The sequence below is a fragment of the Homo sapiens genome, chromosome 1, assembly GCF_000001405.40.
Source record: "Homo sapiens chromosome 1, GRCh38.p14 Primary Assembly".
NCBI lineage: Eukaryota > Metazoa > Chordata > Mammalia > Primates > Hominidae > Homo > Homo sapiens.
In genome coordinates, this window is record NC_000001.11 from 109,160,773 (window position 1) to 109,176,362 (window position 15,590).

The following is a 15,590-nucleotide window of genomic DNA, read 5'->3' on the forward strand; positions in this document are numbered from 1 at the left end:
GTCAGAGCCAAAATCATCACTAATTCCATGGTCTGTTGTTTATTACCAGATTTAAAGGAGGAAGAAACGCTTAAGGGCATTTGGCACATCAATTGTGTTTTCTTTGTTCTGAGTGGAACTGTTTGTTGTTGTTGTTTTACTTAATGCTTGATTTGGTTGTTTTGTTGTTATTCCATTTATTTTTAGCTCAGGTAAAACAATTAAACTATGAGTTTCCCATTGCACAGACAAATTAGGGATGAACAGGCTCAAGTGAGAGCACATCACCTGCCTCGGCCAAATATATTTTCATAAAATGCAATTGGGAATTCATAGTCTTTCTGAGTGGAAAGGAGCATAAGAAACACAGGGAAATAGGGCCAGGCGTGGTGGCTCATGCCTGTAATCCCAGCATTTTGGGAGGCCAAGGCAGGTGGATCACAAAGTCAGGAGTTTGAGACCAGCATGGCTAACATGGTGAAACCCCGTCTCTACTAAAAATACAAAAATTAGCCTGGCGTGGTGGCACTCGCCTGTAGTCCCAGCTACTCGGGAGGCTGAGGCAGGAGAATCGCTTGAACCCAGGAGGCGGAGGTTACGGTGAGCCAAGATCATCCCACTGCACTCCAGCCTGGGCGACAGAGCGAGACTCCGTCTCAAAAAAAAAAAAAAAAAAAAAAAAGAAACACAGGGAAATAGAAATACATACCACTTCTGTGAGGAGCCTTTGTAAATTTTTTGTGGACTAAGGCTTCCATTTAGAACATCCTTCCATTTAGAATGTCCTCGTTCATAAATTCTACACTTTGGAATAAGAAAAATTCCACCTATTTCTAGCCTGTTCCTTAGTTACCTTTCCCACGTTCCTCTGCTCCATAAGGACACTACTTAAACATAACAACAAAGAGAGTCACACACAAAAATGATTTCTAGGGACTAGACCATGGCTGGGTGGAAGGGAATGATCCAAATCATTGTAGTTCTTGTACTCGGTTCATAATCATCAGCTCCCTGCCCGGGGTCCCAGGGCCCATTTCTGAGAGGATGAGCATCAGTAGCCATGGTGCTGGGAAGTGGGTGGGAAGCTGTTAATGTTTGATCACTGCTAATGCACATTTCGCCCACTGTTCTCTCCCCTGCAGTCTGAGTACCACTATGAGTACACGGCGTGTGACAGCACGGGTTCCAGGTGGAGGGTCGCCGTGCCGCATACCCCGGGCCTGTGCACCAGCCTGCCTGACCCCATCAAGGGCACCGAGTGCTGTAAGCAGCTATCCTGCTCAGGGCCTCCCTGTCACTCAGCTTTGGTCTCTCCCCCAAGTCTCCTGCCATCCAATCTGGGCCCTTCCTGGCAGAGCAGCTGCATTAAGGAATCAGATCTTTTCCCCAATTAGTCCCCACATCCCAGACCCTTATGAGATTTGGTGCAGAAGTATTTCATGAATGCAAACTGGATATCTGAATTTGCTTTCATTTTTTAAAGGAATTTAAATCCCATCAGTGGATACAGCATAAGCAATGCCAGCTGTGTGCACTCAGATATTCTTTTCTGTTTGCATACATTTTCATTTTTGCCTTGTATGTCTCTCCAATCTACACTCACTCACCAGCCACAATCAGTCATTAGGCAAGATTGAGATTTGCTTTCATTCTTAAAAAGGAAGTCAGAGAGGCTAAGTTTCTGCAGAGACGTCCTTTAAAATGCTCCAGGCATCACTTCAGGAGACAAGAATCTTCTTGACTGTGGGTCTGATTGTGCAATAGGAAAGGCAGTGGCTTGCCGCAGCCCCAGCACCCGCCTCTGTGACTCTGCAGTCACAACTTTTCTACAATTGGCAGCTGTTTCCCCTGCATTATTCTTTTAGGAATGCAAAGGGAATAACAAGAAAAACCAGGCACTAGATTTAAGGAATTATCTGAAGAGTTGGAAAGGAGTTTGAAGATATTTAAATTCTAAAATCAGCTTAGTACAGTGCCTGGTTGAGTAAGTGAGCAAATAAATACTTGTTAAATTAATGACTGGATATTGCTGAGACCTGAGCAGAACTGAGGTGTGACTAGTGGAAACAAATGAGCCATCTTCATTGAACTCTGCTGACTTCAGTGAGTCCCACTATGTGTTAGCACCATGATGTGCACATGCAGTGTGAACTGCAAAGACAAATAAGGCACACTCTCTGCTTTCAGAAGCTTAGGGTGGTGGAAAGTGCAGACATTCATTCATTCACTCATTGTTTCAGAAACATTCATGAAGCTCCCAGTCTGTGCCAGTCACTGAGCCAGCCATCCCCAGAGGAGCGCAGAGCCTAGTGGGTGGCAGACATATATGATATGAGAAAGAATGAGAGTTACGAATATTTAGGGATCAGGCATAGCTGGGAGGGCCACTTGAGCAAAAGTTTAGACGTGGATGAAGAGTGACACATTTGAGGAAGAGCTTGTGGTCCAGGGTAGAGGCAACACAGAGAAGGTGATGGATGGAGTTGAGGTGAAAAAAGATTTGTAGTGGGAGGTCAAGCTGGGAAGTTAGGCTGCAGGGAAATCGTGGAAAACTTTGAATGCCAGGCCAAGAGCATAATTCTAGAACCAAAAGGGAGTGCCTGTTTATTTTTAAAATAAGGAGAATAATAGTACATACGTGTTTTACTTTTTATTTTTTTAAAGACAAGGTCTCACTCTGTTTCCTAGGCTGAAGTACAGAGGTGCAATCATAGCTCTGTAGCCTCGACCTCCTGGGCTCAAGTAATTTTCCCACCTCAGCCTTTTGAGTAGCTAGGATTACAGGCACACGCGACCACTCCCAGCTAATTTAAACATTTTTTTTTTTGGTAGTGACAGGGTCTCACTGTGTTGCCCAGGTTGGCCTCAAACTCCTGGGCTCAAGTGATCCTCCTGCCTTGGTCTCTCAAAGTGTTGGGTTTACAGGTATGAGCCACTGTGCCTGATCACATCTGTTTTAGAAAGGTACCTCTGACCACAGAATGAGCAAAAATAAGAATAGGGAACTAGTTAGGAGGATATTGCAATGATTGAGTTAACAGGTCATGAGAATTCCACCTAGCATGGTGGCAGTACAACCAGAAAGGCAGAGGCCAGAGGCTCAAGGGAGAAATTCAAGGCTGAAGGGCCATGTGTCATTCAGAGGGGTCAGCACAAGAGACCTTGGCATCTTCTTCACCAGAGAGCTCTCAGAATGGTCAGGGCACCTCTCCAAAGGAAACGAGTGCCAGGAACAAGCCCAAAGTCCCACAGCAAGGCAGAGCATCCGTGGCCCTAGATCTATTTTTTTTATAACAGCTTTATTGGTATATAATTTATATGCCATGAAATTCATTCCTTTAAGGATAAAATTCAGTGGTTTTTAGAATATTCACAGCAACCATCATCACTCTCATTTCACATTTTAATCATCCTAAAAAGAAACCTCATATTATTAGCAATCTCTCCCCAGGCCCCTCCCCACAGCCCCTGGCAACCACAAATCTACTTTCTGTCTCTATGGCTTCACCTCTTTTGGCCGTTCCATACAAATAGAATGACACATAGCAAGGAATATCACTGCTGAAAAAAAAATTTTTTTAAGAAAAATAAAATCAAATCACACAGTAAATGCCATGGCCCTAAATCTTAGTGGGCCAAACTCCTAGACCCCAACCCAGCGCTCCTCCCTTCAGCTGCTCGCAGCCCATTCACTTCTGGGGCTGCAGTGACCTCACTGCCCCACCTTGTCTCTGCCCTGTTTTCCAGCCTTCTCCTGCAACGCCGGGGAGTTTCTGGATATGAAGGACCAGTCATGTAAGCCATGCGCTGAGGGCCGCTACTCCCTCGGCACAGGCATTCGGTTTGATGAGTGGGATGAGCTGCCCCATGGCTTTGCCAGCCTCTCAGCCAACATGGAGCTGGATGACAGTGCTGCTGAGTCCACCGGGAACTGTACTTCGTGAGTCTGCACACACCCCCACCCCACCCCCAGCCCACTGGGTAAGGGGCTACAGGGCACACTGGACAGCCTCCTCCGCTGCCCCTCAGGCTGGGCAGGGAGGATGGAGGGAAGAGGAAGCCAGGCTGCCAGGGTGAGGCCTGCAGCTGTGCCCGCAAGACCAGTGGATGTGACTCTGCCTGGCCCACTCTTACTGGCCTAAACTTACCAGTGATGGACAGGCATTTGTGGGAGGTAAAAAACATGAGGAAATAAGAGAGTGGACAAGGGGGGCAAGGGTTAAATGGCCCAGTCTATTTAAAACAAAACCCAATTGGAGCTGGGCACAGTGACTCACCCCTGTAATCCCAGCACTTTGAGAGGCTAATGTGGGAGGATTGCCTGAGGCCAAGAGTTTGAGACCAGCCTGGGAAACATAGCGAGACCCCTGTCTCTACAAAAAGTTAAAAAATTTGCCAGGTGTGGTGGTGCATGTCCGTAGTCCCAGCTACTCGAGAGGCTGAGGCAAGAGGATAACTTGAGCCTAGGAGTTCAAGGTTAGACTGAGCTATGACCGCACCACTGTACCCCTGGATAACAGAGCAAGACCCTGTCTCATTGAAAAACAAAAACCGGCAGGGCGCGGTGGCTCACGCCTGTAATCCCAGCACTCTGGGAGGCCGAGGCGGGTGGATCACTTGAGGTCAGGAGTTCAAGACCAACCTGGCCATGGTGAAACCCCGTCTCTACTAAAAATACAAAAAATTAGCCAGGCCTGGTGGTGCATACCTGTGATCTCAGCGACTCGGGAGGCTGAGGCAGGAGAATCGCTTGAACTGGGAAGCGGAAGTTGCAGTGAGCTGAGATCGCACCATTGCACTCCAGCCTGGGCAACAAGAGTGAAACTCCGTCTTAAAAAAAAAAAAAAAAGAAAAACAAAAACAAAAACCAAAAAAACCAACCGGATTTCCACCACGGAATTTCAGATCAGCCAATATACTTTCTCAGCTTGACTGGAACACAATATGCAAAGCTTGGGTATCTTCCCGGCTTGGGTGCTAACTTCTTCTTCTTCTTCTTTTTTTTTTTTTTGAGACAGAGTCTCACTCTGTCGCCCAGGCTGGAGTGCAGTGGTGCCATCTTGGCTCGCCACAAGCCCCAGCTCCCAGGTTCAAGTGTTTCTCCTCCCTCAGCCTCCTGAGTAGCTGGGTTACAGGTGTGTGTGCCACAATGCCCGGCTAATTTTTTTTTTTTCTTTTTTTTGAGATGGAGTCTCGCTCTGTCACCCAGGCTGGAATGCAGTGGTGCCCTCTCCGCTCACTGCAAGCTCTGCCTCCCGGGTTGACGCCATTCTCCTGCCTCAGCCTCCCGAGTAGCTGGGACTGCAGGCACCCGCCACCACGCCCAGCTAATTTTTTGTATTTTTAGTAGAGATGGGGTTTCACCGTGTTAGCCAGGATGGTCTCGATCTCCTGACCTCGTGATCCACCTGCCTCGGCCTCCCAAAGTGCTGGGATTACAGCGTGAGCCACCGCACCCAGCTAATTTTTTTGTATTTTTTTAGTAGAGATGGGGTTTCACCATGTTGGCCAGGCTGGTCTCAAACTCCTGACCTCAGGTGATCCACCTGCCTCAGCCTCCCAAAGTGCTGGGATTACAGGCATGGGCCACCTTGGCTGCTAACTTCTGAAACTGATTCTGCCTAGCCTTTGCCCAGTGCTGGCTGAAATCTTCCAAATGCTGTGAGACCCCAATGACTAGCAAATTTTCTTGGAAAGCTCAGTCCAGGGTGCTTGGAGAACTGGATATCTATTTCAGATATGTCTTTTGTAGGCCAGGCACTATTCTGGATGCTTTACATATATTATTTTCTCTAATTCTCACAAGAACCTTGTGAAATAGGCATTACTATTTCTATTACAGAGACGAGGAACTGGAAGCTCAGCAAGGTTATGACCTGCTCTTTGTTATCCGGTTTACAGCCGGCGAGATTGAAATTCGAACCCAAGCTTCCACTGCTCCATAATGCCACATTCAAATAACATTTATTATGGGCAAGGCAACACTGGGTCCTAGGGAGCGAAAGTGGGGGGATATGAGGATGTGAAAGGCAGCCATATTGTTCCTTATTAAATATGGACAGTGAATACAGGAGGAAAGCAAGTGAAAGTTTCACTTATACCCAAACAATCAAATGGATAAGAAGGACTCAAGAATTGTATTACACTTGGATTTCTAAAAACCGGGAGCAATGTTTCCCATTCCTATACTTAAATCTTGTCTAAGCCAAGCAGTGGCTATTTAATCTGTAGTCCAATTTTAATGTTATGTTATTTTAGAGTTCAACTTGGTGTGTCAGATTCATTAGCATGACAATACTGGAGGCAGAGATAAAGCTAGAGAGCTTTAAAGCTGGAAGGAGCGGGAATGTGTGGGTTAAGACAACCAACTCCCATTTGAGTCCTAACTGAGAATGTCATTAGGCCCTGGACAAGGTGCAGACATGGCTCAGTCAATTCCTACCCATGTAAAGGAAGGATTTCTTCTCTCTCTGGGGACTGCACCGAGAGTCCAGAAATCATTATCTCTCAGAGAGGCAGGATGTGGGTGGGTTAATAACAACTTGTGTTTCCACCGCACGGACTATTTCAGGGCCTGCATCTTAAGGCATCCCACGACATCCCGGGGAGGGAGGGAGAGGATATTTCTCTGTCAATGGAGAGGAAATGGCCATCTGGAGAGCTTTTGTGGTTTCCCCATCATCCCTCAGAAAGGCAATAATTGAGCTAATACCTAGAGCGCAAGTATTTGGCTTTCCTATTCAGCTGTGCAGCTACCCAAATCCTGCCTGCTCTGCCTCAAGAGACTCCAAGCTCATCTCCTGCTTCCATTCCCAGCCTCCTCCAGGCCTGTCCACTCAGCAGCCAGATTCATCTTTCTTTTTTCTTTTTTTTAAGAAACAAGGTCTCACTCTGTCACCCAGGCTGGAGTGCAATGGCGCAATCACAGCTCACTGCAGCCTCAACCTCCCCGGGCTGAAGCCATCTTCCCACCTCAACCTCCCGCGTAGCTGGGACTGCAGGCTCATGCCACCACACCTGGCTAACTTCTTATTTTTCTAGAGACACGGTTTCACTTATGTTGCCCAGGTTGGACTCAAACTCCTGGGCTCAAATGATCCTTCCGCCTCAACCTCCCAAAGTACTGGGATTACGGATGTGAGCCACTGCACCCAGCCTCATCTCCTTAAATCCAGTCACAGTACTTTCCCGCTCAAAACCCTAGATTCAATGGCTACCAATTGCTCTTGGGATAAAGTCCACTACCTTCCCACAGCCTGCAGGGCCCTGCTGCCCTGCCCCCTGCCCTCTGCTTGTTTCCCCAGCCTCTCCCAAGTTCCTTCTGTCTTCACTTGCTGTGTTCCAGCCACACTGACCATCACACTCCTTCCCCTCCTCAGGGCATTTGAACATGTGACTCTCTGTCCCCTCTTCTATGTCTCCTACTTAACCCTCAGGTCTCTACCTAAAAATCCCTTCCTCAAAGAAACCATCCCCGACCCCACAGACTCCTGTTACACTCTCTTTATCATCCTGCATTTCTCCAATGGCACTTATCACAGTCATTGCTATGTGATTGTGTGATTAGTTAAGCTTCTGTCTCCTCAACTAGAAAGAGAATGCAAGCCCCAAGAGGGAAAGGATCATACTTGTCTTGTTCATCACTGTGTCTCCAGCATCTAACATAGTGTCTGGCTCAAAATAGACAAAATAAATAATTGGGGACAAAACAGACCAGCTGAACGGAGTCTCCATGGCAGGATTCTGAGCCTTCAGGGATCCTCCCATGGGTCCTGGGTTGATGTCCCAGGGCTAAGGTACTGGCCTGAGATCAGAAACTAGGATAAGCTAAGGGAACAGGAGTGACGTGGGTGTAATAGAAAGAATGTCATATATTAGTGGAAAAGATCAAGCAGACGCCCAAAGACTGTGACAGTGAAACAAGAATGAGAGAGAAATGTAAACATTAAAAATGAAAAACATTATATGCAGATCACAACTGGATGACCTAGGGTAAGTTTCCTAAGCACTTCTGGGCTTCAGTTTCTTCATTCTAAAAATGATGATAAAAATAGTACTCTTATAGTTGAGGTAAGGATTGATGAGATGATACTTGTAAAGAATTTAGAGCGATGCCTGACACTAGAAATCAATCAAAACATGTTGTTATTATTGAATATGAAATGTCTTCACCGGGGGCAATTCTGACAAAAATCAGAATTATGATGCATTTTGCAAATGTAACCCACTTATGGCATCTTTTAAATTATTTATTAAACTTCAAGAGTTATTTATAGCTGATGTCGTGGAGCATATCAGCATTAAAGGTTATCCCTTTCAACAAGGAGAAATCAATGCTGTTAGGTTAGCTGGGATATTTTGGATGAGCTCATGTTATATGTTTTCGTTTTGAGAATAACACTGACTGTCAAAGAGCTGAAAATAACCATGTTATTCTGACAAACACAGGGGGAAATCTGTGGACTAATCTGAGATTCCTTTAACTGGCTATTATTATTATTATTTTGATATGGAGTCTCGCTTTATCACCCAGGCTGGAGTGCAATGGCACAATCTCGGCTCACTGCAACCTCCGCCTCCCAAGTTCAAGTGATTCTCCTGCCTCAGCCTCCTGAGGAGCTGGGATTACAGCCACGTGCCACAACACCCAGCTAATTTTTGCATTTTTAGTAGAGATGGGGTTTCACCATGTTGGTCAGGCTGGTCTCGATGGTCTCGAACTCCTCACCTCAGGTGATCCACCCGCCTCAGCCTCCCAAAGTGCTGCGATTACAGGCATGAGCCACCACGCCCACCCAACTGGCCATTATTAAGCAACTGGAAACCTGGGCTGGTCTCAGGCAAAACAGTGCAATAGCGTGAGTGTTTTCGATTACCTGTTTCCACATTCAACTCTTTAACCCTGTGACTCCCCACTATGTGCCAGGTCCAGGCTGGTGCTGGGAATACTTTAGTGAGTAAGGTAAATTTGGTCTCTTCCCTCACATAATATTGGCAACAATTTTGAGGTCTGACAGTTTCAAATTTGGAGAGGATGTGGAGCAACAGGAACAGTGTAGCAGTAGCTGGTAAATGGGAGGCTCACATACAGTTCTCCTCCCAGGCTTTCTACTCAGACATGTGCCTAAGGAGACAGGAACACAGCAGAATGTGCACATGAAACTGCAAACAATCCAAATGTCCATCAACGAGTAATGCACAAATATATATGGCAGAGCCGTACAAAGGAATGTTATGCAGTAGTAAAGACGAAGCCAAAAAAGCTGGATGTGTGAATATGGATGAATCTCACAGTTAGTATATTGAAGTCCCTTCCTTCCCAAAGTGAGTTTCAGAGCCCATAAATATAATACCATTTATGTGAAGCTTGAAAACATGCGAAGCACTACCATACAGTATGTTGTTTAGAGATACATACATGTAGAGAACCGCATGCGCATGTTAAACACCAGATTCAGGAAATTAGTCACTTGGCAGTGGGGAAGGCAGTGTGTTCCAGGAAAAGGGATGAGGTTAGTGGAGGGTACGCAGAGGCTTCTGCTGTGTTGAACTTCTTAAGCAGGGTGATGGGTCGGGGAGTGTTCATTACACCATTGTATAGGTCTTACATATTTCATAATATACTAAAAATATATAAAATATCATGGGATTATGGCTATGAGAAGGAGAGCAAAGAGAGCTAAGGGCACCCATAGCAGAAGCAGATAGAATCAAGGAAGACTTTTTAGATTAAGTGACATTTAAGACACAGTAGGAGTTAAACTGAGAGAGAGAGGAGGAAGTTCATTCCAGGAAGAGGGAAGAGGATGTCAGGAGGCCCAGAGGTAAGAGAAAGCTTGGCAGAGGAATTGAAAGAAATGTCATAGAGTTGAAGTATATAGAGTGCATCAGGAATTTGTACCCTATCCTAAGGGCCACAGGGAGTCAGTCCCAGGGGTTTTAATTTGAAGCAAGGGAGTGCCATGGTCAGACGTCTATTCTGGAGGATCTGTCCGCTGGGCTGCAGCATGCAGAGGGCTTGGAGGATGTGGGACTGGCTTCAGGGAGACAAGTTTGGGGGCTGGTTCATAGATGGTGTGGTGGTGAGTGTAGGGAGAGCCCGTGGACAGGGTGGATAGAGTGAACACGTATTTAGGAGATAAAACAGACATGACCAGGTTGGCTGTCTCCAGGGTTCTCCGGCCCTCCTTGTTTCCATAAAAACCATTTACATGCAGCATCTTATAGTAGACATTTCTGGAAAAACAGGTAGACTAGACTGGGTGGATGTCTGAGTTCTGAAGAATATCTGTGTCTACTGAGTTATTTGACAGCTTTAGAGTTTGGCAGACCTGATTTCAGCCCTGCCACTCGCTGCTTCGTAATACTGGGCTTGGCACTCTCCAAGCCCCAGTTTCATCATCTCTTAAACAGAAAAAACATTTCCTCTTATTGATGAAAATAAATCATGAATATAAAGCACGTAGTTCAATTCCTGGAAGGTAGTAAGCAACCAATAAATGTTACCCCTCCCTGACTAGGCGCAGTGGCTCATGCCTGTAATCCCAGCCCTTTTTGAGGCCGAGGTGGGTGGATCACTTGAGGTCAGGAGTTCGAGACCAGGCTGGCCAACATGGTGAAAACCTGTCTCTACTAAAAAAAAATACAGAAATTAGCTGGGTGTGGTGGTGCATGCCTGTAATCCTAGCTACTCGGGAGGCTGAGACAGGAGAATTGCTTGAACCCGGGAGGCAGAGGTTGTGGTGAGCCGAGGCCACGCCACTGCACTCCAGCCTGGGAGACAGAGCGAGACTCTGCCTCAAAAAAAAAAAGATGTTAGCCCTCCCCAACTTCACCTGCCACCCGTATCCCAGGTAGCTCTGCACAATGTGGAGGCATGCCTGCTTGTTTTCCTCACCTGTCTGCCTTCCTCTTCTTAGCTGTACTCCAGGTCCTTGACCTACCTGAGAGCTTCTTTTGTCTTTCTTCACTGAGCATTTTCAGGTCCAAGTTTCAGTTTGTGAATCACAAGCCTGAAAATTCCCAAAGACCCAGCAGAACATGAGACCTGCACATGGCACAAAGCCTGGTGGGCTGTGCTCCTGCCTGTGAACCTGGTTCCTGTTCCTTCACAGGTCCAAGTGGGTTCCCCGGGGCGACTACATCGCCTCCAACACGGACGAATGCACAGCCACACTGATGTACGCCGTCAACCTGAAGCAATCTGGCACCGTTAACTTCGAATACTACTATCCAGACTCCAGCATCATCTTTGAGTTTTTCGTAAGCCCCTGGCCAAGGTGGAGGGTGGGAGCTAAAAAGCCTCTCTGGGGTTCAGATCCGTTTGAGGAATCCATCATGAGTGTAGCCCTGCTTGGGGGAATCACTGTTGTTTTCTCTCTGGAGAGAGCTGTGGGCAAAATGAGCTGAGGCCCAGGAGGCAAGAAGAAAAGGCAAAAGTGAAAGGACTATTGGGGGAAGAATTGTCTGGCAGATTTCTAAGTGTTTTATCCAGCTCAGACATGAAAACAGCACATCTGAGTTACAAGTTATTTCTTTGGTGTCAACGCTCATTTTGTGTGTGTGACTAACTCCTGCCCTACTTTGAGGCTCATGTGTTTTGAGCTCAATCCCTAAAGGAAATTGGCAACTCTTCCCATATAAAGAAGGGCCCTCTGGAGGGCTGGTGCAATGTGGGGAAAGGTATCCATTTCCTTAGAAAGCTGAGACTCTGGTCCCAAACTCTTTTTATGTCAGGTTCAGAATGACCAGTGCCAGCCCAATGCAGATGACTCCAGGTGGATGAAGACCACAGAGAAAGGATGGGAATTCCACAGTGTGAGTATCACACCAGCCTTCTCCCAGAGATCCCAGAAAAGGGACCCAGGGCCTTTCCTCAGAGAGTGCTTCCTCCCAGTCTGAGCCTCCACCCCAATGTCCCTGGAGGGCAGGAATGTGATATGATGAAGATGCTGTAGTTACTGTCCTCTAGCATTGACAGAATATGGGTGTGAGCTGACTTGTAGCTTCTATGGCTTGACTCCAAAGACCAGCAGCTTTCCAGCTTTAAGACTGGGTCTTCTGCCGGGCATGGTGGCTCATGCCTGTAATCCCAGCACTTTGGGAGGTCGAGGCAGGTGGATCACCTGAGGTCAGGAGTTCGAGACCAGCCTGACCAACATGGAGAAACCCCATCTCTACTAAAAATACAAAAAAATTAGCCAGGTATGGTGGCCCATGCTTGTAATCCCAGCTACTCGGGAGGCTGAGGCAGGAGACTCGCTTGAACCCAGGAGGCGGAGGTTGTGGTGAGCTGAGATCGAGCCATTGCACTCCAGCCTGGGCAACAAAAGCGAAACTCTGTCTCAAAAAAAAAAAAAAAAAAAAAAAGACTGGGTATTCTGGGGAGGGGGGCTGTCCCCCTGCAAAACCACAGAAGAATGAGGGAGTGCCAGTCACCCTGTTGTCAGGACCCTCAGGTCTCTTTACTGGTCTCACCATAAGAGATGCTCATGGTATATATGATCCAGGGAGTGGTGGGAGGGTTGTAAGAGGAGGCTTAGAAAGAGAGAGGAGCTGTGCTAAGTTGGGAAGAAGGACAGAGCTGAGGAAGAGGAGGAAGAGGGTCAGAAGAAGCATTACCATGCAGTTAGTAAGAGAAGTCATCCCAACAAGAGGCTATACCAACAGATTAGCGAGATTTTTCTCTGTGATGAATGAATGCTCCTGTTTGTGGTTTTTAGGTGGAGCTAAATCGAGGCAATAATGTCCTCTATTGGAGAACCACAGCCTTCTCAGTATGGACCAAAGTACCCAAGCCTGTGCTGGTGAGAAACATTGCCATAACAGGTACTGAGAGCAGGGTTACTGACTTCCTGGGCTGTTGACTTTGCAGTCTCCTGGGGACTCAGTCTCCAGGCTGAATCCTTGCTTTTCTGTGCTCTTCCTCCTCCCTAGGGGTGGCCTACACTTCAGAATGCTTCCCCTGCAAACCTGGCACGTATGCAGACAAGCAGGGCTCCTCTTTCTGCAAACTTTGCCCAGCCAACTCTTATTCAAATAAAGGAGAAACTTCTTGCCACCAGTGTGACCCTGACAAATACTCAGGTGATGTTTCTGAGGGTGGGAAGAGTTTGGGGATAGAGAGTACCACCAAAACACACAAGGAGATACCAGGGAATAGAGCCATCCTTCTGGCCAAGCTGAGGATGGTAATTCTTAAACCCTTCCTTTCTGGATCCTGGAATACCCTTGCCAATCCATATATCCATTAATCACTTTGTCATTTTTTTTTTTTTTTGAGATAGGGTCTCACTTTATCACCCAGGCTGAAGTGCCGTGGTGCGATCATAGCTCACTGCAGCCTCAAACTCCCTGTCCCAAGCAATCCTCCCGCCTCAGCCTCCTGAGTAGCTAAGACTACCAGCGTGCCCCACCACACCCAGCTAATTTTTTATTTTTATTTTTATAGAGACAGGGGTCTTGCTAGTTGCCCAGGCTGGTCTTGAACTCCTGGGCTCAAGTGATCCTCCTGCCTCAGCCTCTCAAGCTGTGAGCCTATAATCTCAGCACTTTGGGAGGTCAAACCGGGAAGATCAATTGGGCCTAGGAGGTTGAAGCTTCAGTGAGCCATGATCACACCACTGCACTACAGCCTGGGTGACAGAGTAAGACCCTGTCTCTAAAAAAAAAAAAAAAAAAAAAAAAAAAAAAAAAAATCATTCAATAAATATTGAGCCTCTCCTATCTACCAGGCCCTATTCTATGTGCTTGGAATACGTCAGTGAACAAAACAGACAAAGGTCCCTGTTTTTATGGGGTTTACATTCGGGGGTGGGGGGAAGAGAGACAATAAACAAAAAGAAATAGATGATACATATATAATAAATTATATAGTATGTGAGATGGTAAAAAGTGCCATGGTGTCATGGCAAAAAGAAAAAGCAGCTCAGAGCTAGAGGGATTAGGGAAGCTAAGGAAAGGGTTGCAATCCTTTTTTTTTTGAGACGGAGTCTTTCTCTGTCGCCCAGGCTGGAGTGCAGTGGCGCGATCTCAGCTCACTGCAAACTCTGCCTCCCAGGTTCATGCCATTCTTCTGCCTCAGGCTCCTGAGTAGTTGGGACTACAGGCGCCCGCCACTGCGCCCGGCTAATTTTTTGTATTTTTAGTAGAGACAGGGTTTCACTGTATTAGCCAGGGTGGTCTCGATCTCCTGACCTCGTGATCCGCCCGCCTCAGCCTCCCAAAGTGCTGGGATTATAGGCATGAGCCACCGCGCCCGGCCTGGGTTGCAATCTTTTTGTTGCTGTTGTAGAAACACGGTCTCACTGTGTTGCCCAGGCTGGTCTCGAACTCCTGACCTCAAAGTGATCCTCCTGCCTCAGCCTTCCAAAGTGCTGGGATTACAGACATGAGACACTGTGCCCAGTCCAGTCATTTTTTTTAAGTGGTGAATTTTTATTTTTATTTTTATTTTTTTTTGAGACGGAGTTTCACTCTTGTTGCCCAAGCTGGAGTGCTCGAATGCAGTGGCGTGATCTCGGCTCACCACAACCTCTGCCTCCCGGGTTCAAGCAATTTTCCTGCCTCGGCCTCCCAAGTAGCTGGGATTACAGGCGTGCACCACCATGCCCAGCTAATTTTGTATTTTTAGTAGCGACAGGGTTTCATTATGTTGGCCAGGCTGGTCTCGAACTCCCAACCTCAGGTGATCTGCCCACCTCGGCCTCCCAAAGTGCTGGGTTACAGGTGTGAGCCACCACACCCAGTCAGTGGTGAAATTTTAAATGAAACATTATATAAGATTATAATATAGGCCAGGGGTGGTGGCTCGCGCCTGTAATCCCAGCACTTTGGGAGGCCGAGGCAGGCAGATCACTTGAGGTCAGGAGTTCAAGACCAGGCTGGCCAACATGGCAAAACCACGTCTCTACTAAAAATACAAAAATTAGCCCGGCGTGGGGGCGTGTGCCTGTAATCCCAGCTACTCAGGAGGCTGAGGCTGGAGAATCACTTGAACCCGGAAGGTGGAGGTTGCAGTGAGCAGAGATCGTGCCACTGCACTCCAGCCTGGGTGATAGAGCGAGACTCAGTCTCAAAAAAAAAAAAAAAAAAAAAAAAAGATTATAACATAAACAGTAGATACTGTAGATTTAAAATGTATAAATTTATACATTTTAACGTATAACAATTATTATCAAAGTTAATTTCATGAGCCTATATTGATGAACAAGAAGATTTTGATAACAAGGTCTAAAGATGCAAATGACAATCTTTTATCAACCTGAGAGCATTCATTGAAGTCAAATCAGGCATTCTGGGAAATCTAGGTTTCCTTGTAACACAATTTGCAAACCACTGCTCTGAGGGAAAGTAAGGGGACAGCAGGAAGCAGCCTGTTTTTATTGTTTGAGGATAGCTTCCTAAAGCATTCCAATTTGAGAAATAGGACGTGGTTATTTGAGGGAGTTCCAGGGGGTATCGAGGCTCTGATGTGGGATGGGCAGTGCCAGCAGATGGCTTTCTGCTCAGACAGTCCAGACATTGGTATGAGGGCCAACCTCCAAGACAGGTTCTGAAACAAACAAGAAGGGAGAGAGAAGCAGTCCCATCTTTTCCCCAGAAACACTCAC

The 15,590-nt window shown here is 46.8% G+C and overlaps 1 protein-coding gene across 7 annotated transcripts in view; it reads left to right on the top strand.

The window, feature by feature from the left end:
- The window catches only part of ELAPOR1 (endosome-lysosome associated apoptosis and autophagy regulator 1), a 92,667-nt gene that overhangs the window by 46,658 nt on the left and 30,419 nt on the right, over window positions 1-15,590 (top strand). For 3 of the 7 annotated variants that reach the window (XM_011541825.3, NM_020775.5, XM_011541826.4), the window contains exons 2-7: window positions 1,122-1,242; window positions 3,727-3,919; window positions 11,094-11,241; window positions 11,716-11,796; window positions 12,702-12,807; window positions 12,916-13,065. In XM_011541825.3, coding sequence (XP_011540127.1) covers window positions 1,122-1,242; window positions 3,727-3,919; window positions 11,094-11,241; window positions 11,716-11,796; window positions 12,702-12,807; window positions 12,916-13,065 — 799 coding nt within the window. Of the gene's footprint in view, window positions 1-1,121; window positions 1,243-3,726; window positions 3,920-11,093; window positions 11,242-11,715; window positions 11,797-12,701; window positions 12,808-12,915; window positions 13,066-15,590 lie in introns of those variants that run through there. The other 4 variants (XM_011541827.3, NM_001267048.2, NM_001284352.2 and 1 more) reach the window with 4 other exon arrangements.